We start from the raw sequence: 24,307 nt of genomic DNA, 5'->3' as shown, positions 1-24,307 counted from the left end.
CTCAGCCCAGCAGAGACCTTGACTTCAGGCTTTAAGACCTTCAGCAGAGAAGCAGCCTCGTGGGCCTGGGCTTTGGATCTGCACCACTGTGAGCTCAGAAATGGGCGGGGCTTCACATTTGTGGTCGTTTGAGAAAACTCAAGACCCACTGAAGCTCGTGGAAGGAAAAGCCTGTACTCTGCCTTTCCCCCTGTGATACTGGAAGCCCTGCTCTCAGGGAAATATGGGAGTCCCTACAGCACAAAAATTGCACAGCCTGAAAGCTGATGAGCGAGGTTTCAGTGGAGGCTCTTCTGGGTTGAACTGTATCCCCTCCCTTGAAAAACATGTTAGAGTCCTCACCCTTGGTGCCTTAGAATGTGACTCATTTGGAAACAGGATTTTTACAGAGTGATAAGTTAAAATAAGGGTATGCACCTCAATCAATTAAATTAGGGTGGGCTCTAATCCAGTGTGACAGTGCCCTTCTAAAAGGGGAAATCTGTGCACAGAGACATGCAGAGAAGAGAAGAGGAAGACAGAAAATGTCACCTGCAAGCCAGGGACAGAGGCCTGGGACCACCATCTCCTCCCGACTCAGTGTCCTGGGAGCTCACACTGGGAGTCTGGAATCAGTTGTCGGGGAGTGCAGTATTCTCACCACTGCACTCAGCAAGTGCTATAACTCTATGACTCTAACTCTATAGCTCTATAACTAACTCTATAACTCTATGACTCTATGACTTTATAACTCTATAACTCTAATTCTATAACTCTATGACTCTATAGCTCTATAACTCTATAACTAACTCTATAACTCTATGACTCTATAGCTCTATAACTCTATAATTAACTCTATAACTCTGTAACACTATGACTCTATAACTCTATAACTCTATGACTCTAACTCTATAATTAACTCTATAAATCTATGACTCTGTAACTCTAACTCTATAATTTTATGACTCTATAACTCTATAACTCTATGACTCTATAACTCTATAACTAACTCTATAATTCTATGACTCTATAACTCTATAACTAACTCTATAACTCTATGACTCTATAACTCTATGGCTCCATAACTCTATAACTCTATAACTCTACAACTCTATGACTCTATAACTCTATAACTAACTCTATAACTCTATAAATCTATGACTCTATAACTCTATAACTAACTCTATAACTCTATAAATCTATGACTCTATAACTCTATAACTAACTCTATAACTCTATAAATCTATGACTCTATAACTCTATAACTAACTCTATAATTCTATAACTCTATAACAACTCTATAACTCTATAACTCCATAACTCTAACTCTATAACTCTATGACTCTATAACTCTATGATTCTAACTCTATAACTAACTCTATAACTCCATGACTCTATAACTCTATAACTAACTCTATAACTCTATAACTCGGACTTCCCACCCTGCCTGGAGCAGGTGGGTAAACATTTCTGAGCACACCTCTGAGTGGGGCCCTGGGCGAGTGGGCCGTGGGGGTCTCTGCAGTTAACCATTGGTGTAACTTGCTTCTCTGGATTCCATTTTCTGAATTTAGGAAATGAAGACTCGATGAACTCAATGGTCTCTTCTGTTTACATAAACTCAGTCACGTAGAAGCAGAACCGCCAGACATGAAACAAAAGCCCAAAGTGACAGATTTTGAAATAAAACCAACGAATGAGAGGATGTGGTTTTCCATTTGAAAAGTGAGCTCCTTGGAGCTCCTTGGTTGTTGATTTTTCCTCCCCTCTCTTGTTCTTTCCATGCCTTTCTTTCATTCCTGCCAACTTCCTGAATCATCCATTCCTAGATCAAACCTCTACATTGCCACTTTCTTGCTGTGTGACCTTGGGCAAGTTGCTTAACCTCTCTGTGCCCCAGCCTCCTCAGCAGACTGGAGACAAAGCTAACACTGTATCAAAGGGTGTGTAGCTAGGGCTCAGGCTGGATGCCTGCTAGCCATAATCAGTGTTGCTGTTATTGTTACCTTTCCTACTAGACAGTCCTCAAACATACCTGCAATTCTGGACTGGAAAATGCCACACGATGATAATGGGGGATCGTTTTCAAAGTCTTTGATCCCACGACTCCGTCTTGGCAGACTGCAGGGGAAATTCAGGTCTGGCCTGTAGTATTTCCCTGAAGTATAAATAAGCATCAGACGTTCAGTTTCATCAAGTTAGTACAGATTTGTTCCACAAAACTCCCAAGACCAAGACCCACTCTAACAGCAATGTTATTATTGAAATTATTGTCAACTGTGTTGTTTCTGAACATTCTCTGCAACGTGGCTTCAATTTGAGAAGAAAGTGCTGCTCAGCTGTGCACACAACATTTTCTCAAATGCAGACAACTTAGGTTTCAGCCCCAGGAACTATGCAACCCTCTTTGTCCTCCCAAAATGCCCCATGAAGATTCACTCTTACATTTTCCTGATGAAGAACCTGATAAAGTGTCTCTATGACTAGTTTAGTGTAACTCGGTAAGAATCTGAAGTTGGCATCAATGATCCATCCCCCTAGCTTTAAACGTATCCTTCTTGCTCAGGGGACAGAGTGCTTGAGCTGGAGATGCCTGTGTTGTGCATTCTTTAGTCAATTGCTTGAAGCCAGGCTGGAAGTGGGCTCACTGGGACTGTCTCCCACCAGAGGCTGCCCGGTGCCAGGGTTCACGTGGAGTTTGACCTTGAGTTCTAAGATCTGACAGTCTGGTAGCAAATCCTGGCATCACCATCTCCTCACTGTGCAGCCAGAAATAAATGACTTCATCTCTCTTATCAGTAAAAAACAGGGAAAGAGTAGCGATTGCGAGGTGTCAGTGAGGTAACACCCATAGCCCAGAGTCTGACTCAAGAGGGAGTGGTCAACGAGTCGGGGCACTGGTCTCATGTCACCACGTCAGGATGACTGATTATCCTCACACAGGACACCACGACACACTGCTCCCTCCAGTGCACTCTGGTTTGCCTTCACATTCTCCAAAGGGACCCCAAGCCTCCTGGTTATTAGGAGGTTCCAGCAGCCACACTGACCTTCCTGAGACCTGCTCTGCCATACATAGCAGGCCCTGCCCTTTGCACCCCAGAATATGCCAGGCCCCTTCATCCTGGCCCACAGCCTTGCACAAACCCAGAGTCAGGGGGCAGTGGGGGGCAGCAGGGGTCAGCGGGGGGCAATTTTTCATGCCTGCATTTTAGTTTCCATATAGGAGTTTTCTGAAGACTCCCTCCCTGGGATTTCCATGGGCAGAGACTCTTGTTTGAACACTGCATTTTAGAGGTGTTTATTCAATGCCAACATTAGCTCTTGGGAAAGGCAGTTTTAAAATCAGAGAGAAAGTCCATCAATTTCATTGTGTTCTCAAAGGCATCTGTGATCCCCCTCTAAAATGTCAAGACACTCCATTTAGGTATTTTGCTGTCATTGACACTTCAGCTGTGATCACTCTGGGGGCAGAGGGCAGAGCTCAGGAGAGGACAAGGATGTGGGGCAAGGTCAGGTCCTGATGGGAGCAGAGTCTGTGTGGAATATGGGGTGAGGTGAGGGGCCCTGTGAGGATGTGGGTGCCTGGGCCAAAAGTGAGCTGAGCTGGGGAGAGGCCAGTAGAGCCCCCCAAATCTCCCTTGTGTTCCCTGAGGTTGGTCACCTTGGGGGAGGACGTGGCTATACCTCCTTGTGATTTATTAAACCCTGCAATATACAAAATTCAGACAAACTAGATGTAATTCTTCACTTTATCAAGGGCCTCTCTACCTTGGGAAAAGATCCACCAGGAGTTTCCTTTCAGATGGGGATTTCCAGTGCCTTTAAAATATTTTCCCTTATAAGTGACTTGATCTTTTGTCCAGATGACCAAATATTTTTTCTTTTTCTATGAAGTTCAATAACTATTTTTGGTGTTGATTGTTTTGTATTGGTTCTCCCCACCATGGACAAGGTGTGTCAGTTCAATCTATAGCTTCAGTAATTCAATAGCTAAAAAAACTGTTTTATTGAAAAAAAGTTTCTTATATGTTTGTTAATGCATCCTGATAGCCACCTATTGTCTTATTGTTGCTTTAAGCTCTTGTATCTTTACTTGATCTTGTTTTATAGAGGTGACCATATTATTAGCTCTGTGAGTTCTTGGAAATATGCTTGATCATGATGTTATCTGCTCAGAATCTTTTCTGGTGTGTGATTGTCATCTGCCAATGGTTTTCCCTACTCATTTACCACTTTCTTGGGTCTGCTGGGCTTCTGGAGGGGGATCCCAAAAGGGTTCGGCTAACCTAGCAACTGTGAATTGATTTTGTCACTACATTCAATGCCTTAATTTATGTAATGGGTCATGGCTTAGAAATTGTGACACTACAGGCTTCCTATTAGGAGATTAGCATTGATGTGGACATTGATCATCAATACAGAGGTTGGCTTGTGGGTATGTGTATTTATAAGCACTATTCTTACTTCCTGGCATTCAGAGGAGAAAAGCTGGGGTGTGCAAGAGGCATGTTCAAGAATACGTCCATCTGTTAAGCAGCATAGCCAAAAATTACATCAGTTAAGATTAGGTTGGAGAGGTTCCAACACAGACACTCAAATGCATACATGGAACACCCCTGGAGGAAGATGTAGCAGGCACGTTTTCCACACATACAGTCTACACATGGTCATTCTACAGAATGGTGCCTCAGGGGATCTGGTGCCATGTAAGGTCATTAAGAAGGAGATCTCATTGGTTAGATCTACAGTGTTTCTGTCCGTAGACCCGCCTGAGTGTGACCTACCATCAGGAGTGGAGCATTGCTGCAGCCATGCCTTCCCGAAGATCTGATCCACTCTCTCCCCGTGGCGAACCACCAGCACGCTCTTCCTTGCAACGGTAGCCTGGGGGGTGGGGCAGGAAGCAAGGCACATGCAGTTTAACATCCAACTCACTGGACTTGCACCAATGGCAGCTCTCCCAGTCACCCAGCAACTGCGAGGGAATCTTTTCCTTCGTTAGTCAATAGCTCAGCCCATTTTGCCCAAATCATTAGAATGAAAGAGGACATGAAATTGACAATCTCTTCAATTTCTTCCAATGTTTTATTTTCTGGGCATTCTAACATCAAGAAAATGAAAAGAGACAGGATTGGCCCCTATCATGACACATCCGTTTTTCTACTTTTCTGTCTTTTCTAAGTCCTTATCATTCCCATAGAGACGTCTTAGGACATTATCCCTATCTATATTATAATATGTATTGTTATAGTATAGATTACCTATCTATATATCTAGTCTCCTCTCTTGCTGGCACACTTCTTCTGAGAAACCCTCCAGGACTGCCCTGGTGTTGACCTGTTGAGGGGCCGTCCTTTTATGGCTCCCAGGTATGAATTCTGCTTCTGAGCACCAAGGGGAGAAGCCCTCATCCATCCCCTTGCTGTTTTCCCATAGCTGGTCATTCTCTGTTTGGCTGAATGCTAAAGGAAAACAGTACTTTATAGTTTATTTACTTCTTCTCGGCATGAGACTGGCCTTGGCGGTGGCCAGCAGCTTCGAGCCAGGGACAGCAGCTCTCTGGCACCTTCCTCCCCAGCCTCAGGCAGCCGCAGGATGGCCTTGGAGCCTTGCAGTTACAGGGCTCACGCCCGCCCTCTTTCTGGGGAGCCTGTGCTTTGGGGAAGTAGCCCAAAGGTCATGCTTGGGGCAGCGAGGCTGGCTACCCTTTGGGAGGGGCCTCCACTGTGTGGGATGGTGTTGTGGGGGGCTCTGTCCTCAGGGGCTAGGCCACCCTTCTCCCCATGCTGTGCAGGGCTGATCAAGTTGAGGGACTGGCCTTGAGAGGAACCCACAGCAAATGAGATGAAGAGAGTGAATGAGAGCTGAGGATGCCCCCCCTGGGACCAGAGAGCAGAGTGCTAGGGGCCGAGCCAGCTAGAGGCCACCAGGACAGCTGCGTGGAGCATAAGCCCTGCACCAGGACCCTGGAGGGAGACACCAGGCTCGGCTGCTTCCCTGGAGGGCACTAATGTGCCAGCTGACATCGGCCCTTCACCTACATTCCCAGCCCCAGAGCCAGGCCCAGGCTATCCAGGGGGGTCCATTTCAGAGCAAGAGGTGGGGAACCCTGCAGCAACACAGGCCCAGTGGTGCTGCCCTCTGGCACCCAGGACTCATGCCTCAACCTCCCTGTGACATGGCACCGCAGGGGGGAGCATGTCACATGCTGGTCCATGAAGCTGCAGTCCACAGCATCCCTGCTTTAGGGAGCTGCAGGTCTCCCTGGGCCAAGGGATGAACATGGAAAGATGAGTCATTAACAGAGATGGTGGGGGCAGAGCGAACACGGCCTGCCACGGGAGGTGGGCTGTGGGGCCTTCTGGGGACCAAATCCTGCCTGGAGCCCAGGCGACCAGGGATGGACGGGGTAGGGAGGACCCCTGGGCAGGAGGCAGCTCAGACAGGCACTATCCCTGCCCTGCTCCCTCTTGGCCACACAGCTCTCTCTGGGCTAAAATGAGAGGGCAGCTCTTGTGTGTGTTTTCCTACTGAGCAGGGTAAGGAAGAGAGGTGAGGAGAGGTAAGCCTTGTCTGCATAAACCCTCATACACCAGCCCCAGCATCGCCCTGATTCCCTCCAAATCCTAGAGAGGAAAATGCAAATGGCTTTAACATCCAAACACCCTCAGGGAGGAAGGGACTCATTTTCCACCTGGCCAGTGCAGCTGATCATTCCTGTCTGGACTTTCTTCTGTGAACAGTGATCCAGTCTCAAGGGTCTGCACTAACTGGCCACTCGCTCTGGCAAGAGTGGTCCCCCGTGGTGTCCCTGTACCTAGGGAAGTGATTGGAAACTACTGGGAAGGAAGGGACACCAGAAAGTAGGGTGGGGGCCAATTTCACCTGCCTTGAAAGCATTCTCGGGGTCAGCACCACGGGCAGCTCCTGCCAGATCCTGTGGATCCCTTGTGAAGTCCACGCTGGCCCGGACGATGCAGAATTTCCAGCTGCTGAAATTTATCAGGACCAGACAGTTCTCGGTGGCCCTGGCTACATTTGGTAGGTGCATAAACTATGGGATTGGTGAGCCAGTGAGAACGTTTGCAGTCACCATGCAAACACTTTCTTAGGGTCACTGGGCTGAGTCTTCAAAACGGATATACGGTAAGGCCAAGTGAATAGTATTGCTTTCCCTTATTGGAAAACTTCAGTTGTTTGTTTCAGGATAGAAACATGCATCTCCTGGGGAACAGCTTCAGGGGAAGGTTTGTCTTGCTGTCTTGCTCTCTTGCATGTGAAGTGTGGTTATGCAGAGGTTGCCTACACTGACACCAAGAGGCAGCACCCACCGCCCCTATCCCAGAATGAATATTAAAACATCCTAGAGAGCTGTAGAGAGCTGATCTGCAAGTAGATTGCAAAGCATGCATGCTCTTGGAAACTCATTCTGCCTAGTAACAAAGTCCCTGAAGTTTTCAACTTGCGGGCTGAAGTTTTGGATTTGGGGTATTTTCTTCCTGGAAGAGCTCAGAGCATTTTAAATGTTCTTCTGTGGAGCTTTGCCACAGGAATATGATGATAAAGCAAAAGAAAGCCCTGTGGGGAGTGGAATGGACTGACCCCTGGGATCTATGGAATGAGGCAGGGCTGCACCAATTCTCTAGACAGAAGGTGCTGCATTGGTGTCCTGGGGCTGCCATAACAGGCTGGGCGGTGCCAAGCAAGAGACATTTATTCTCTCACAGCTCTGGAGGCTGGAAGTCCAAAGTCAAGGTGTTGGCAGGGCCATGCTCCCTCTGACATTCTAGGGGAGAATTTATTCTTTGCTTCTTCCAGCTCCTGGTGGCCCCAGGTGTTCCTTGGCTTGTGGCCACATTGCTCCAGTCTCTGCCTCTCTGGCTGCATGGCCTCCTCTGCTGCTGTATCAGATCCCCTCTGCTTTTCTCTCATCAGCACACTTGTGATGGGGTTTAGGGCCCTCCTGGATGACCCAGGATCATTTCCTCATTTCAAGACCCTCCACTCAATCCCATCTGCAGAAACTCTCTTTCCTAATAAGGTCACATGCACAAGTTCCCGGGATTAGGGCATCATCTCTGGGGCCATGATTCTACCAGACCTGTGGCCAGTTGTCTTTTCTTACTGTAGGGAAGGGGTGAAATCCCTATAGAGAAGACCGTGTGAGGGGGGCCAGTTCACAGGCAGATGCATGTTCTGTTTTCAGCCATTGAAAGCACGGTTTAGACACAGGCTGAGCTACGAGCAGAGACTTCCATTCCAGGCTCTCCCCCTACCCAATACCTGGGTACTTCTCCACAGTACCCAGGTATTGGGTCAAATGTTATTTTAGATGTCACTGTGAAGGTATTTTTTAAAAATGAGATTAACATTTAAGTCACTAGGCTGAGTAAAACAGAATGGTCTCTGTTTTACTCCAGATGATAGGGTTGTTGGAATCCATGGTACTAGCTCAATCTTTTTAAATAGCTGAAAGTCCTTATTAAAAACATTTAAAGCTTTTTAAATAATCCCCAGGCCACAGCCCTGGGGAGTCTCGGCTCTCCCAAGTCTGGGCCTTTCTCACATGGTGAACGCTGATCGCCATTTCTCATGGACCCAGCTTCAGAGACACATTCTTGATTTCTCAAGAAAAGGCCTCCTCACCTAGCCACCAAGGCTGCAAAGACCTGCCAAGGCCACTTAGCTTTGGGCTGATTTGCACCAGCTGCCAGGAGGTGCAAATGGCGACAGGGACGCTGCGTGTGGGTTGACTGTTTAGCTTCCACAGCAGAAGTTTACTCTCCCACAGTCCTGGAGGCTGGAGGTCAGAGATGATGGTGTTGCCAGGGCTGGTTCCTTTTGAGGCCTCTCTCTGGGGCTTGCCGGTGGTGTCCCCTCCCTGTGTCCTCACAGGGCCATCCCTCTTGTGTGTCTGTTTCCTCATCCCCTCTTCTTATAAGGGCAGCAGTCAGATTGGATCAGATTGCATCACCTGTGTTGCCTCATTTAACCTTAAATACCTCTTTAAAGGCCTTGTCTACAAATACAATCACATTCAGTGAGACTGGGGGTTAGGACTTCGAGATAGGAATTTTGGAGGCACACAATTCAATCCGTAACAGAGGGTGAGCGTTGACCTTAGGGTGAGCCACTGACAAGTCCCGGCAGAGCCTTCCTTTGGTTGTTCTGGAGATTTATGGACCAGGCACCAGGATGGGCCCTGGGGACTAGGGAATAAGCCTGGCTACTGTGACCCCACCCTCTGGGCACAATAGTTTCTCCGCACCAGGGGCCTGGCCGTGGTGGGCACTGGATGGCCCATCTCACATAATCCTTCCAACAATCTGATGGGAGGGTGGTTAGGAGTCTGTGTGCTCTCCGACAAGCTTCCTAGCCTCCATGAGCCCCAGTTTTCAGATCTGTAAAATGGGTAGGGGGCAGGAATAGCGCCTCCTGTGTCGATTGGGGATAGCAAGGATGAGAGATCCTAAAGTAACGTGTGCGGCACATGGCAGGGCACAGGCGGACGAATTTGGGAAGAACAAGGACAGAGAGGCATTTTCACTACTGTGGCAACCAGACAAAGGCCAGCAGCAGGTACAGCCCCTTCCTGAGGGCTCCTCTGTAAGGAGTGTGAAGCTTCAGATCACAGGACAGGGATCAGGGATGTGATGTCACTTGTTTGCGTTCAGGGAGGGGCTGCCTGCTCCTTGGTGTCCCTGCCTGGCAGCCTGCACTCCTGGATGTGCCCCATGAGGGTGGCCAGCTCGGGGTGCCCTGCTGTGCCCTGGACCCTGGCCTGAGTCTGCTGACCCCCAGGTTATGGAGAGTTTTGCCTCAAAAGATGAGGGGCCAAGGCACCGGGGCAGGTGACGTCTTGGGGACCTCTTGGCTCATGAATGAGGGAATGGGATGAGAACTCGGGATTCAGCTGCCTTGAGGAGCTCAAGGTGGGGCACTCTGCCATGAAGGGGTGGCTCCCTGTCTGCCCAGAGCAGACAGACCAGGGCAGGACCCCCGGCACCCTCAGACCTGGGAGGCCCCCTTGCTGACCACGCTCTAGGGCAGGGAGGATGTGTCTATGGAACAAAAGCTACACCTACGAAGCTGTGTCCACCGTGAAGTTAATACAAAGTGTAGTTTTGCTTAGTTTACTTAAAAGAAAAAAGGGAATGTTCTATTACCTGCAAGGCCTGTAAGCTGCTAAGACTCCTTGCCGTTTGTGGAAGAAATTCCCCGCTGCATCTGCTGCTGGCTTCACCATCCTTTCTGGAGTTCAGGTCTGTGGCTAGACTGAAGGTGTACATCCTGCAGGGGAAGGAAAGCACGGCTTGAACAGAAGTGAGACCATGTTGTTGCCATGGAGACCCAGCATCTGGTCATGTATGTACTTGAGAATGTCCGGGACAACCTCAGCAGAAAGGTTCCCATGAGCACAAAATGAAGTAGCGTGTGCAAAGTGCTCAGGACTCAGGAAGTGTGGATGATGTGTTTGTTTTATTACAATGATCACCGTCTATGATGGGTAATTTTACATGTCAACGTGGCTAGGCCACAGTACCCAGGTATTGGGTCAAATGTTATTTTAGATGTCACTGTGAAGGTATTTTTTTAGAATGAGATTAACATTTAAGTCACTAGGCTGAGTAAAGCAGAGACCACCCTTCAGATGATGGGGCTGTTGGACTCCATGGTGCTGGCTCAATCTTTTTAAATAGCTGAAAGTCCTTATTAAAAACATTTAAAGCTTTTTAAATCAGAAAATGGTCCTTGAATGTCTCGACACATCACTGTGAGTGGGTCTCATCCAACCAGTTGAAGGCCTTAAGAGGAAACGAACTGGGGTCCCATGAGGAAGGGGAAATCCTGCCTCCAGACCACCTTTGGACTTGAGCTGTAACCTCAACTCTTCCCAGGGTCTCCCATCTGCCAGCCTGCCCTGCAAATTGTGCACTTGCCAGGCTCACAGTCTTGAACCAATTCCTTCAACTAGATCTCTCTCTCTCTTTCTCTCTCGGTCACTCTCTGTCTCTCTGTCTTTGTCTCTGTCTCTGTCTGTGGGGAACCCTGACTAATACACCATCCCCTTTGATCCACTCTGGGAGGAACTGACACACCACCACAGTTTACTGTTCTCAGCCATGCACAGGGCATGTTTCTATTTATCCAGCCCATTTGCAAATGTTTGCATTTCTCCCATAGAGGTCTCAAGTCCCCACATTCTCATAAAACCAGCAGTAGCTCCCACTCCTCCACCGAGACCCGTCCAGAGCCAGGAAGGGCATCTTTTCTTCTGCATCTCAGCATCTGCGTTACACATGATCTTCTCACACTATTACCTGCCCTGTCTCCATCTATAAACTATGGCAGGTCCAGGCCAATTTACTTTGCATCTTCTCAAGCTGTCAGATGCCATTAGATAGGAAATGCACACTTGAGTTGATCCTAAGTAGACCAAGAATATAGATAGTCTCATTGGAACAATCGACAGTTTCCTCTTCAAATTAACATGCTCAGAGCAGTGAGGCACAATTCATAGCCCCACATTAGCACAGGAAATATTGGTTGGTTTCCCCTTCCTGAGGGCAAGGCGAGGGCACCCACAGCCTCCCTGCGGCTCGCTCTGCAGACAGTAGGGCTTTGCTATCAACTGATGACATCTGTGAGGTTTACAGAGAGAAACGGAGTGCATTTTGCTAGTCTTTCAAATGAAATACAATCAAGATTATGCTGTGAACATGGGTGACGGAAGGAGAAAGAAAAGAGCTTAGCATTTTCACATTTCCATTTTTCTCTTTGACTTAAGAGAGCCTCTTGACAGTAACTTACACCATGAAACAGATGTGTTTGAATTCTCCCTGGTTCTTAAAAGGACATAGCTGCCATCTGGGGGTTGCATCACTACGTCCCTGTGTTCATTTCCTGGGGCGGCCATAACAAAGTCCCACAGCTGAGCGGCTTCAACGACAGCCACAGATGCCCTCATAGTCCTGGAGGCTGCGAGTCTGAGGTCAAGCCACCATTGAGGCTGGTCTCTCTTGAGGCCTCTCTCCTTGGCTTGTAGACAGGTACTTCTCCTCGTTTCCTCACAGGCTGTCCCTCTGTGTGTGTCTGTGTCCTCATTTCTTCTTATAAGGACACCAGACATATTGGATCAGGGCCCACTCTAATGCCCTCATTTGAACTTAGTCACCTCTTTAAAGACCCTGTCTCCAAATAAGTTCACATTCTGAGGTGTTAGGGGTCAGGACCTCCACATATGAATGTTGGCAGAATGCAATTTAGCCCTTAATTGTACCTTTCTTATGTCTGAGATATTTGCTGTAAACTTGCTCTGAGGTTTTTGAAGTAATCTGCTGTGTCTGTCTTCAGTGTTGGGAAAGTCCTCATCTTGACTGGGGGATGGCACTTATTCTCCCGAGCCCTCACACTCAAGCCCCCCTGTTGTTTGTCCCACAGGGGTGCTCCCCTCTGCTCTCCTGGACAGAGGATTGGAAGCTGCTGTGGTTTGTGAATACGGTCCTCCATCACCAGTCTCTCCAGGCCATCTCTGATCTTCAAAGCAATGGACAAACATTACAGTGTGATTTTGCGGTAGATAAGTCCAAAGAATCCCTGCACCGTCTGGCACGGAGGCTGAGGCTGGGGTCATTATAGTGGTGATGGGTGACTGGTGTGTTAATTGACAAGTACTATTCATCAGAGCTGCAGACTCTTACCTGGAAAGGTGCCCTCTGTGGCGGGCAGGGGGATTCCTCCTGGTGCGCCTGCAGGTCTGTTTCCAGGCACTCTAATGCCAGTGGTTCTGCTGCTTGGATCGTGCAAGTGTGAGTCCTGACCAGGGCTCGTAGGAAGTAATTATTCAACATCTGCACAGCTATCTGTCAGTCCGTGGGTCAGCTGGCCTCTGGACATTGCTGTCTGACCCCATTTTCCACTAATGAATATGTCAGTGATGTGTGGAGACATTCAAGGATCATTTTCCGATTTTGAAAGCTTTAGATGTTTAATAAGGATTTTCAGCAGTTTGAAAAGATTTAGCCAGCACAGTGGAGTCCAACAGCTCCCGTCATCTGCCTCACTGGCCCATAAGCACAGATCACAGCTTGTCAGGGTGTCTTGATGCTCCCCCAGCCACAATGAGGGTGCTTCCAAAGCAGGACCAATCAGACAACCCACAGCACCTAGCCCAGTGCTTATTTCTCTTTCCTTTCATTGCAATTTTTGTTAATACTGATTAATTCTCAAGAGAAAGTTCCTCTGGAAAGAATAGTCCCAGAAATGTCAGGCATAAAAGCTGGAATGGTTATGTTGATGGCAGGTGTCTGATGTATTAATTGTGAAGTGAAAAGTATCATAGCCGCTGACTCATCTTCTGCAGAGTCTTTGTGGTTCCTCTGTGACTGTGAAACTCTCCCATCCCGGGCAGAGAGCGAAGGACATGCTAAATGATGCGGGGCCACAGGGGAGCCCCAACCCTCCTGAAATTGAGATGGTTAGTTAGGGCATAGCCAGCATCTCCTCTCTATTCCTTAAACTGTTGATTGGATCAGGTGGTGAACTGAGCTTGCAAGAAAGCAAGAGCTTCCTTGATTGTACAACGTCACCTGGCCTCCTGGGCCCGAGTCTTCTCACCTCTCAAGCAGGGGAGCTGCCTTCGGTTATCTCTACAATCCCTTGTGGCACCCACATCCTGTGATTTTGATGTGGCCCCTGGACCCACGGACATGTCTATGTCAGCAAATTGTGTTTCTCCTGAACCGCTGGTCTGCACGCATCTGGGATGGCCATGACTGTTGGTTGAATGTGTGTCTGTTTTCTCACTGGATGTGGGAAAGCTCGGAGCTGGGAGCTCACAGCGCACGCCATGGTATGGACAAACCTCAGCCCTGGCTTTGTCTAGCTTTTCCACCTTTACTCTCCCTTTGACCCAGCTTTCTTACATTCTCTTCTTGAAATTTAAAATGGATTAATTTATGTTTTGAGTAAGTAATGCATTTATATGCTTCATACATTTAAACATTATGAAATGGTCGTGTTTGAAAAGACTCCCTCCCATTTCTGTTCCATTCTCCTGGCTCCCACTCCCAACACCCACCGGTAACCATGGTTAGAAGTTTCTAGACACTCTCCCTTCCAGGGAACCTTTAGGCATACACATGTATAGAAATACATATTGTGCACATGTATTTACAGACAGTTATGTGTTTCTCTCCCCTTCCCCCACAAGTATATCATGCCATACACATCGTTCTGCAACTTATTTTTTTCATTTATCAATAAATCTTGCATATTTTTTCAAATCAATATATAAAATTCTCCCTTTTAATTATTTTAAAGCTGCAAATATTTTATTGTATGGATGTGTCATAATTTAATTTATGGACTTATTTTTAAATTTTAATGATCTCTTCTATAGGCAGTTGAGGTCATAGTTGAAAGCCCAAGCGTGGGATTAGGTATAAGACTGGAATCCGGCTTCCTCTGCTCACTTGCTGTGTGAACACAGGCAAGTGAGTTGATCTCTTTGTGTCTCAGTTTCATCAACTATAAAATGGATCAATAAAAGTGCCTATCCAGGGGGTATTGGAGAAGTAAATCAGTTAGTAAGGGAAATGCATGGCACAGAGCCAGGCACAGGGGGTGATGTTAGTGTGCAAAGCTATTGGACATCTCTTAAGCTGCCTTAAAATAGATTTAAGTGGATTAGGAGTCAACACATCAATAAATAAAGACGTGTGACTACGGCTGCATTTTTCATCCCACATTTGCATTTTGTGGTCCTAAGTTCTTATTCATTAGGGTAAGAAGTTAAATGGCCTCAAGAGAAGATGATATGGAATGTCATGTATGCACAGCTGTGGGGCTTTGGCTGGAATCTGCTCTCCTTGAATGTCAAGTGGCTATTATGTTTAGTGGGGGAGCCCAGGGACATAGGTACTGTCCCTGGCTTGTTATACAAATCTCAGTGTATGAATAATTAGCAAAAAGAAATATAATACTTAAAGAAATCAGCCATAGTCACCAAATCTCCTTTTATAAATATTTCAGACAATACTTCCATTATTTTTACTACTATTTCTTGCAAATTCTAATCATTTCACCAAGAGCTTCTATCAGGTACTATTAAACCATCTTTTCTTTTCTTTTTTGGGGGTTTGGATAAAAATGACCAATATGCAATCATTTATTTCAGCTCTTCAAAATACGTTCTTTCTTAATTTACTTAAAATGCTAGTCTTATCCACACAGAGGCTTATCCATATAGCCTCTGACAATTTTTAAGCAGCTTTTAATGACTACTCAAATAAAACGTCACAATTTTCATAGTTTTGCCATGTGCATGAATCTCATTAGGAAGGGTACAGAAAATAATTCCCTGGATGTATAGATGCTGGAAATAGAAGTCCACAGCAAATGTCCAGCACAGATCTGAAAATCTATAGATTGAGTAGATGCTGATACATCTGTGTTCAACTTAATGATTTATTTATTTGTCAGGGTGGTGAGGGGAACCCTAGAGAAGCTGTGGAGCATTTTAGGAGAGAATTAAACAAATGAGTGAAATATAAAATGGTTTTAAGACCTCCTGCCTGGAGACAGAGGGATGGCCACGATGGTGTTTTTCCAGGCTCTCTTCCCCAGCCACACAGCTCTGAAGGTGCCAGGAAGCCCAGAACCACAACATAGGGTTTTTCTGTGTATTTCTGCCCTTCTCCTCCCACTCTCATCATTCAGTTGTTCCAACCATCAGTCTTGACACCTGCAAGAGCTCCACCCCAACAGGCACACCCATGAGGCTGAGCAGCTTTTCTCTTTTTTCACCATGTGTACTCTGACCTCTGCCTGCTCTCTCCACTCTCCTAACTGGAACCTGGGAGAAGAGAGTGAAAAAGCTCACAAGAGCCACCTTAACACTTTGCAATGGCTTTATGGTGTGGCAACTTGGCCAGACTGAACGACAGTTCCTAGACTTCCTTTTTAGCACATGTCTGATCAGGGTGGGCTACAAGAGGCATTCTCATGAGAGCTGGAGGATGGAAGGGAGGCAGTAGCCATCCTAAGCATCACACACAGCCTTCCTAGCTATCCCATCAAATGCTAGTCTAGGTGCTGCTGGAAGGAGATTTTACAAATGTGACTAGAACCCCTAATCAGTTGAGCTTAAATTAATCAAAAGCAAGGTTATTCTGAGCAGGTCTGACTTATGCAGTTGGAAGGCATTTTTTTTTAAAAACTTAGGCTTTCCTCACACTCAGAGACTTCAATAGCAGCTGTGTCTGTGACTGCTCTCCCATCACCCGGGTGGTCCTTCCAACTGCCACATGTGGACAACAAGCTTCAGCTTGCCCATGGGTTTTCAGCCTAAGTAGGCTCCTCCCTTCCTGCCTGTCTGCCCTTGCTTAGCTAGCCCCAGTAATTCCATAAGGCAATTCATTGTAGTAAATCAATATAGATGTGTGTATACATATATACCTTTCCATATATATATGTGTGTGATACATGTGTATATAATATAAAATACTATGTATGTATAGTCAGCCCTTTGTATCTGGAGGTTCTGCATTTGTGGATTCAACCAACTGCAGGCCAAAAATATTCAAAAGATTAATCAATTAAAAAATAGCAATACAATTTAAAAAATACAAATAAAAAACAATACCGTATAACAACTATTTGCATAGTATTTATACTGTATTACATATCACAAGTAATCTAGAGATGATTTAAAGGATACAGGGTGATGTGCATAAGTTGCATGTAAATACTACAGCATTTTATATCGGGGACTCGAGAACATGAGGATTTGGGTATCTGTGGGGGTCCGGGAACCAATCCCTTGCAGATAGCAAGGGACAACTGTACATATACTTATATGTATTATATATTGTATGAAAGTGACTGGTTCTGCATCTCTGGTTAAACTTTTACTAAATTTGGTATCAGGAATGGGGTGCTACTCTAACAAACAGTGGATGTTCTTCAACTTCAGATGGGGTTATGTTCCAACAAACCCATCATAAATTGAAAATGCATTTAATGCACCTAACCTACTGAACATCACAGCTTGGCCTAGCTTACCTTAAACACGCTCAGAACACTTACAGTAGCCTATGATAGGGCGGAATAATCTAACACAAAGCCGATTTTATAATCAAGTGTTGAGTATCTCATGTAATTCGTTGAATGTTGTACTGAAAATGTAGCACAGAATGATTGTATGGGCACTTGAAGTACAGTTTCTATTGAACCCATATCACTTTCGTAACATTATGAAATCCTAAGCCAAACCATTGTAAGTTGGAAACCTTCTGAACTTAAAATGTGGAAACAACTTTGGGACTTGGCAGCGAGTAGAGGCTAAGAGACTTTTGAGTAGCACAGCAGAGAAAGCCCAAATCACCATGAACAGACTGCTAGAGGAAATAGGGATGCTAAAGGTGAATCCTCCGGGGAGAACTCAGAAAGGAATGTGACAGGTGTTCCAGGAAATCGGAGCAAGGAGGATCCTTCCCATGTGTGCCAGAGAGTTTAATGAAATTGTCCATGGAGAGCAGGACTTGTAAGCGATGATGTTGGTCACATAGCTAAGGCTATTTCCAAACAAAGTGTTAAGTGTATCACCTGGTTTCTTCATGTTATTTATAGTGAAGCGGGAGAGGAAAGAGATAAATTGAGGGAAGAACATCGAACAAAAAAGAACCAGTATCTGATGATTCTGAAAATCCTTAGCCTCACCAGATGATGCTAAAAGGTGCTAAAATTAAGAGATTCTTCAGCTGATGAAGAAGCAACTCACCAGGAGCCCTACAGCTTCAAGGAAATCACTCCCACCAACAACTGTGTATGCTCAGGCGAGGGTGTGAAGCCTCAGTGGGGAGCCCAGCCCTGGCAGGCACCTTGATTACAGCCTTGAGACCCCGAGCTGAGGACCCAGTGAAGCTGGACTCTGACTCTCAACCCATAAATACCATAAGATAATAATTGCACTTTGTTTTAGTGGTAATTTATTATACAGTCATAGAAAACTAATAATACGACCTAGGACTTTACATTTCATACACGGAGCAGAAGAATAAATAAACCCAAGCTCAGGACCTCTGAGTATAATTTATTATGTGTGTGATAAAGAAGTAGTATTTTGCAGTAATTTGGGGATTACCATCTCAAATTACTCTAATGCAGAGTAATTCATTCTTTTTTGAATGTTATCATCAGAAAACCAGGGACGAACCAAGATGTTTACTATATACCTGCAGGAATAATTTTGTCAGCATACAGAATGCAATTTTACCAATAATGGAATGGTCTAGAAGCACACTGTTGGCAGGTGGGCACTCTCACACAGTAACTCAGAGAGAGATGACGGGGCTGCAGCCAGAGGCAGCACTCACCTGTGCTTCACCCACGTGTCAGACTCACTGGCTCGATCCGTGTAGTTTTCCGGCAGGAAGCCCCGGCAGCCCGTCCGCTGTGAGATCCCAATCACCCAGCCCTCGCTGGCTTCGTCCTGCTGCGTGGGGTCCACAAAGATGTAGTCACCAGGACTTAGCGTCAGCTCATCCACGTTCTGGGGTTTGTACTGGAATAGGGCTCTCAGGGTCTAGAAAAGAGGCAAAGGGGTTTCACGTCTCGAGCAAAGATTTACATTGGAAAATGGCAGCAATAGGAGGCCTATCACCTGCCACCTCCTGCTTTCTGCCCCTCCAATGTGTTCTGTGTCTCCAAGACTCCATCCAAAGCTTTGTCTGGCAATATATAGCACAGAATGTAATGAAACGCAGCATAGAATTCTTTGGATAGATTTAGAAATACATTTTGGGGCCAGGCGCGGTGGCTCACGCCTGTAATCCCAGCACTTTGGAAGGCCGAGGTGGGTGGATCACAAGGTCAGGAGTTTGAGACCAGCCTGGCCAATATGGTGAAACCCCGTCTCTACTGAAAATACAAAAATTAGCTGGACATGGTGGCGGGTGCCTGTAGTCCCAGCTACTTGGGAAGCTTGAGGCAGGAGAATCACTTGAACCTGGGAGGCGAAGGTTGAAGTGGGCGCAGATCACTCCACTGCATTCTACCCTGGGTGACAGGGTGAGACTCCCTCTCAAAAAAAAAAAAAAAAAAAAAAGAAAAAAAGAAAAAAAAAAGAGATACATTTTGGGATCTATCCATCATCCATCCATCTAGGTACTTTTTTGTCTACAAAAGATCTGAAGGCATAAGCAGACTTTCACATCCGCCTTCCTCGGTGTGAGGTTATTGACACCTCATACGATACAGAACATGGTGGATTCATTCACACGTGCTCTCTGGGTCTGAAAGGAGCATCACACACTTCGTTTCTAAACCCATCGATTCATGGGCAGGAAGTCCCAGAATGAGGTTTCACTCAAATCATTCTTTAAAGTGAATTGTGCTCACTTTGGCAGCACATATAACTAAAATTGGAATGCTGCAGAGAAGATTAGCATGGCCCCTACATTTAAAAAATAAATAAATAAAAAAGAATTAATAAGCAAAACATGTATTCATAGATCTTTACAATAGTCCTTTCCTTTCTGTCTTTTTTTTTTTTTTTTTTTTTTTTGCCAGTCTCGCTCTGTTGCCCAGGCTGGAGTGCAACGGTACGATCTCTGCTCACTGCAACCTCCACCTCCCAGGTTCAAGTGATTCTTCTGCCTCAGCCTCCCGAGTAGCTGGGATTACAGGTTCGTGCCATCACGCCCGGCTAATTTTCTGTATTTTTAGTAGAGACAGCGTTTTGCCCTGTTGCCCAGGCTGGTCTCGAACACCTGACCTGAAGTGATCCACCTGCCTCAGCCTCCCAAAGTGCTGGGATTATAGGTGTGAGCCACCACACCCAGCTTCCTTTTCTAATATTGGAAATGCTTCTATTTTGTTGTCTGTGCATCTCTAACTCACATATAAAAGAATGCTGGTTGTAAATTGCACAAGAAAGAGAATGGCTTTAGAGAAGCAATAGAAATTTTCCTTGCTACTAACATATCTCCCTTGGAGGGCTCCAGGGGGTACATGCTGTCAGGTGAGTGGCCGTTCACTCATCTGCTTCTTTTTTTGAGACGTCTCGCTCTGTAGCCCAGGCTGGAGTGCAGTGATGCTACCTCCACTCGCTGCAAGCTCCGCCTCCCGGGTTCACTCCATTCTCCTGCCTCAGCCTCCTGAGTAGCTGGGACTACAGGTGCCCGCCGCCGTGCCTGGCTAATTTTTTGTATTTTTAGTAGAGACGAGGTTTCACCATGTTAGCCAGGATGGTCTCCATCTCCTGACCTCATGATCCGCCGCCTCGGCCTCCCAAAGTGCTGGGATTACAGGCGTGAGCCACCGAGCCCAGCCCATTCATCTGCTTCTTATGAGCCCCTGCTCAGCTCTCTCACCTGGTAGTGCACAAAGCGCATGTCTCGGGAGTAGAGTGCTGCGGTCCACTGGCAGCTGTGGCCCAGGGGGATGGCTCTGGCCAGCTGCTCCAGCGTCCTCTGGTGGTGGGGGTAGAACTTGTGGGCCAAGGTCAGATGCAGCTGTTTGGTGCAAGGCTTCACGGAGCAGTCTGTGAAATCAGGGAAACACAGAGGGTGCCAGGACACCGTTACCTAAATGTCTCCTTCCTCCGACCTCCATGCTTCCTCCACAAGGCAAGGGCTCTCAGAACTCAGAGCTCATTTGGCCCGCTCAGAACTCACATCATAAAGGAGATGGCTGGATCCCTGTAGATTTTTCCAGGAAGTAGGAAAGAGGACGATATGGAGATGTGGGTTCAGGGTCTCGGGGGCCTATCGGTTTGCAGGCTAGCTGCCCGAATGCACGATTCAGATGCACAGAGTAAACGGCTCCTCCATTCCCCGGGGTGTGCACGTTACCCAGTGGCCTGGACTTGCAGGCCCGAGCTCCAGTTCAACGGCTTTTTGTTTAATCGTAGAGTTTCAAGAAGAAAACTCTTTAGGCAACAAAACTATAAAACACACAGTGTCTTTAAGGTTCACCTTGTTTTGGTGAAGCAGGAAGTCCTGGGAGTGGTTGAGCCTCAGGTCTTTTTGGGTGTCCTCTGCCCCTGTGGCCCTAGCCCTCCCTGGTCCTGCCAGGGGCTCTCAGGTCAGTCTGAGCAGAGCAGCTGGCATCACCAAAGCAGCCAGGATCTGATTTCAGTTGAGCCACAAAGTATTTTATGTCCTAGGGAGGCGGTCTGTGTCTTGACGGGAACAACACAAACTTTGGTGTCAGATAGACCTAGTTTTAGGCTGCACTTTGCCCCCTTTTGCAGGGTGACCTTGACTGAGCCTCTGGGCCTGCCCAATTTCTGCTTCAGCAGCATCTGCTGGAGGACGGCAGCGCCTGCTCGCCAAGGCTGCAGTGGGAAATCAGCCTCCTAACCTAAAGTTTCCTGCTAGAGACGCCGTGTCGGTGCACAGACGTACCCTGCCCCCACTCCACGGCAGGGCACTTACAAACAGGATCTGCTCACCCCCTAAAAAAGGTCAAGGTTGATGCAAGCCTTTCCCTGGAGCCCCGAAGTTGGGGCTCACTGCTGTCTCCCACGTGAGAGGTGAGCCTTTAGAGGCAAATGGGAAGCTCCCACGGTCTCTAGGAAAGCTGGGGCACTGAGGCTGCACAGCCCAGAGCAGCATGAGTGTGTAGGTGGTGGGGAGCAGCATGAGTGTGTAGGTGGTGGGGAAATTCCTTTCCTGACTTTTGTTTTTAGCAGTCGGGGAGGACCGCCTTGCCATGCGAGTGAGTGTGGCCTGGGAAAGACCCACTGCAGGTTGCTGACGTCAGAGTGAGTCACACCGACTTCTGAACGGGTCCTTGCGTTTCCTTCTCTCTGCGGACCTGTGCCTATGGGCACGTTTCACTGGGGAGGACCAACGCGGGCAAGGGGGCCTCATGCATTTGCCCCAAGAGGGACCTCGGCCACTTCAGAGCAGTGACTGGTCACTCATCACTGAGAGAGTCCCCTCCACCCCCTCGGTGTCAGGCTGAGAGCATGGGCCATGGAAGGGCAGGACACAGCCTGCTTAGGGTCGGGGCGTAGATGTGAGGTCAACGCTGGCTCCCACAGGAAGTGGGGCTGCCCAGCATGAACCCAGGCAGCATGGAGCAGGACAGAGGTGGGTTCAGGTCCCTGCTCCGCCAGCCTGGTTAGGGGACTAGATTGGTTTCAAACAACAGAAATGTATTGCCTCCCATTTCTGGAGACTAGAGGTTCAAAATCAAGGTGTTGGCAGGGCTGTGCTCTCCCCGAAAGCTCCTGGGAAGGGTCCTTCCTGGCTTCTTCCAGTTTCCGGTGGCCCCAGGCGTCCCTTGGCTTGTGGCTACATCACTCCAGTCTCTGCCTCAGTCGGCACATGGCTTCTCTGTGTCTCTGTGCGGCCTCTACCCTTACGGGAACCCACCCTAATGCAGTGTGACCTCCTCCCAACCAATCGCATCTGCACAGGCCCTATTCCCAAGTGAGGTCACATTCCCAAGTTCCTGGTGGACAAACATTTTTAGGGGACACCGCTCTACACACCACAGGACCTTGGGCAGGCCCTTCACCCTTTGCAGCCTCAGTCTTCCTGTTTTTAAGATGCTGCCAATGAGGTTCACTGGGGGAGGGCCTGGGTGTGAAAGAGCCATCATTTGATAAAGGATACTAATCCACAAAGACCGGGGGCGACTTTCTAATTATTCAGCAGATTCGATCTCCAGACTCACAAGCTGCCATCCAAGTGGAAGCCCAGGATTCAGGGATGGATTTACAGGCCAGGATCTGTGCTTCATACATGTCTGAGCACAGACAGACACGCTCCCAGAGAGAGAAAGTGGGGAGCCCTCCCACCAAGGCACTGCGGCCTCGTCAGATTTTAGAGTCGGCAAATCTCAGCAATACTGAGTGCCTTCTGTGTCCCGGGAACTATGGCAGGATGGGCCACAGACTCAGGCAACATTGTTCTTGAAGAGTGAGAGCCCTCATTGTTTTGTAGAGAAAGAAAAAGAGACAGAGAGAGTGGACATGACTTGATTAAGGTCATGCCACTCATCAGGGACACAGAAAAAAATCACATCTTCTGACGTCAAGTCCACAATCCTTTCCACTAAACCCCAATGGTAGCCTTGGTCTCCAGGCCAGGGCTGGTGTTTGGAGAGAAGGGAATTTTGATGATTCTGAATATGAGTCTAAATAATCTTTCCCTGGAGAGGCCAAGGAGAGAGCACTAAGCTCATACTGAAAATACAGAAATAAGTCACGTAGGACTTGTGTGTCTCCCACTCAAGGCTGGGGTGGGGAGGCCCTGACTCCCTGTGTGCACCAGCCTCCAACCCCGTCACAGTCACCCACTCAGGCTTGATGCTTGGCACACCCTTCTGGGGCACTTTCCCAGGCTGTTGGCATATAGCTAAGCATTTTAAAAACCACATAATGAGAACAAGGCTATTCCCGCCTAAAGAGAAGACCAAAGCTGGTCCGGAAGCTTTCTAATGGCTTACATTTTTGAAGGATGTAGTGGCTCACGAAGGAGGCTCTAGTTAAATTGCTCAGCCTCAGGTTAGGGCCATGTCCAGGCACCTGGCTGAAAATCCAGAAGCGGGAAACGGAAGTGCCTGGGTGAGGACAGGTGCAGCCACTGAGCCCGGAAGAAAGCCCACCCAGCCATCCCACCATTGCTGCTGGGCTCTGCTCCCCTGGAACCCACCCACTGCATCCATGTGCCGGGGGCTAGTCCCTGCCACAGAGGGCTCACTCACTGTGAATCCAGCCCTGTGTTTGCAACTGGCCAGGGCTGCCCACCTGCTAAGAGAGATGCTTCCGTGGCGAAGGTCATGGCGAATTCCCGGATGACGTCTGCGGGGCTGCCACTGACGAAGAAGCCGAGGTAGCTGATGGAGGAGTGGAGAGCCAGAGGCACGGCCGTGGGGAAGGAGCCCAGGAGCCTGTCTCCAGCTCTCTTCAGCGCCTCGTACAGGCATTCCACCTTCTGGTCTTCACACTAAGGGGACAGAGACAGAGCCTGTGTTTCCACACCTCTCATCAGAAGTCATCTATTAATTTAATTAATAACAATCAGGCAGCAATTAAAGTGAGATTCTTTTCTGTTCAAAGCGCTGTAACATAATTTATTGCGTCCCTTTGTGTCTGGGGTTATGGATTTGTTCTATACCTGGACCTCGGTTTTTTCAAATATTTCAGGTAAGTTTCTTTGCAGGTTGGAGTCTCCTTTAGGTGCCCAGGTTGGAAATCCCCTGGTCGTTGAACTGCATCCCCTCCCTCCATGGCACGTGCTCATCACCTGCCAGGCCCTTTCCTCAGTCCCATGGCACACTGCTTTGCTCAGGTTTGCATGATTTGGCT

The 24,307-nt window shown here is 47.6% G+C and overlaps 1 protein-coding gene and 1 pseudogene across 15 annotated transcripts in view, besides 4 other annotated features; one reads left to right on the top strand and one right to left on the bottom strand.

Annotated features, from left to right (window-relative positions):
- UBASH3A (ubiquitin associated and SH3 domain containing A) overlaps nt 1-24,307 on the bottom strand; it is a 43,783-nt gene that overhangs the window by 10,716 nt on the left and 8,760 nt on the right. For 5 of the 15 annotated variants that reach the window (XM_047440831.1, XM_047440836.1, XM_047440834.1 and 2 more), the window contains exons 4-10: nt 23,747-23,945; nt 23,446-23,559; nt 20,358-20,527; nt 18,360-18,568; nt 10,149-10,272; nt 4,767-4,866; nt 1,986-2,137 (exon numbers count right to left, since the gene is read on the bottom strand). In XM_047440831.1, the coding sequence (XP_047296787.1) occupies nt 1,986-2,137; nt 4,767-4,866; nt 10,149-10,272; nt 18,360-18,568; nt 20,358-20,527; nt 23,446-23,559; nt 23,747-23,945 (1,068 nt within the window). Of the gene's footprint in view, nt 1-1,459; nt 2,138-4,766; nt 4,867-10,148; nt 10,273-18,359; nt 18,569-20,357; nt 20,528-20,660; nt 23,411-23,445; nt 23,560-23,746; nt 23,946-24,307 lie in introns of those variants that run through there. The other 10 variants (NM_018961.4, XM_011529609.3, XM_047440839.1 and 7 more) reach the window with 6 other exon arrangements.
- Nucleotides 13,523-13,792: an enhancer, noted in NCBI's record as "active region_18516". NCBI's record gives its function as "activates an Ori minimal core promoter by ATAC-STARR-seq in GM12878 lymphoblastoid cells {active_cell/tissue: GM12878}" and the evidence as "EXISTENCE:reporter gene assay evidence [ECO:0000049][PMID:35858748]".
- RNU6-1149P (RNA, U6 small nuclear 1149, pseudogene) lies at nt 19,376-19,472 on the top strand (annotated as a pseudogene).
- Nucleotides 21,114-22,313: an enhancer, noted in NCBI's record as "P300/CBP strongly-dependent group 1 enhancer chr21:43834765-43835964 (GRCh37/hg19 assembly coordinates)". NCBI's record gives its function as "activates an origin of replication core promoter dependent on BRD2, BRD4, P300/CBP, MED14 and CDK7 cofactors, with strong dependence on P300/CBP, by STARR-seq in HCT116 cells {active_cell/tissue: HCT116}" and the evidence as "EXISTENCE:reporter gene assay evidence [ECO:0000049][PMID:35650434]".
- Nucleotides 21,529-21,998: an enhancer, noted in NCBI's record as "active region_18515". NCBI's record gives its function as "activates an Ori minimal core promoter by ATAC-STARR-seq in GM12878 lymphoblastoid cells {active_cell/tissue: GM12878}" and the evidence as "EXISTENCE:reporter gene assay evidence [ECO:0000049][PMID:35858748]".
- Nucleotides 22,089-22,178: an enhancer, noted in NCBI's record as "active region_18514". NCBI's record gives its function as "activates an Ori minimal core promoter by ATAC-STARR-seq in GM12878 lymphoblastoid cells {active_cell/tissue: GM12878}" and the evidence as "EXISTENCE:reporter gene assay evidence [ECO:0000049][PMID:35858748]".

The sequence above is a fragment of the Homo sapiens genome, chromosome 21, assembly GCF_000001405.40.
Source record: "Homo sapiens chromosome 21, GRCh38.p14 Primary Assembly".
NCBI lineage: Eukaryota > Metazoa > Chordata > Mammalia > Primates > Hominidae > Homo > Homo sapiens.
Note: the sequence above shows the minus strand (reverse complement) of the source record. Positions and strands in the feature narration are given on the sequence as shown.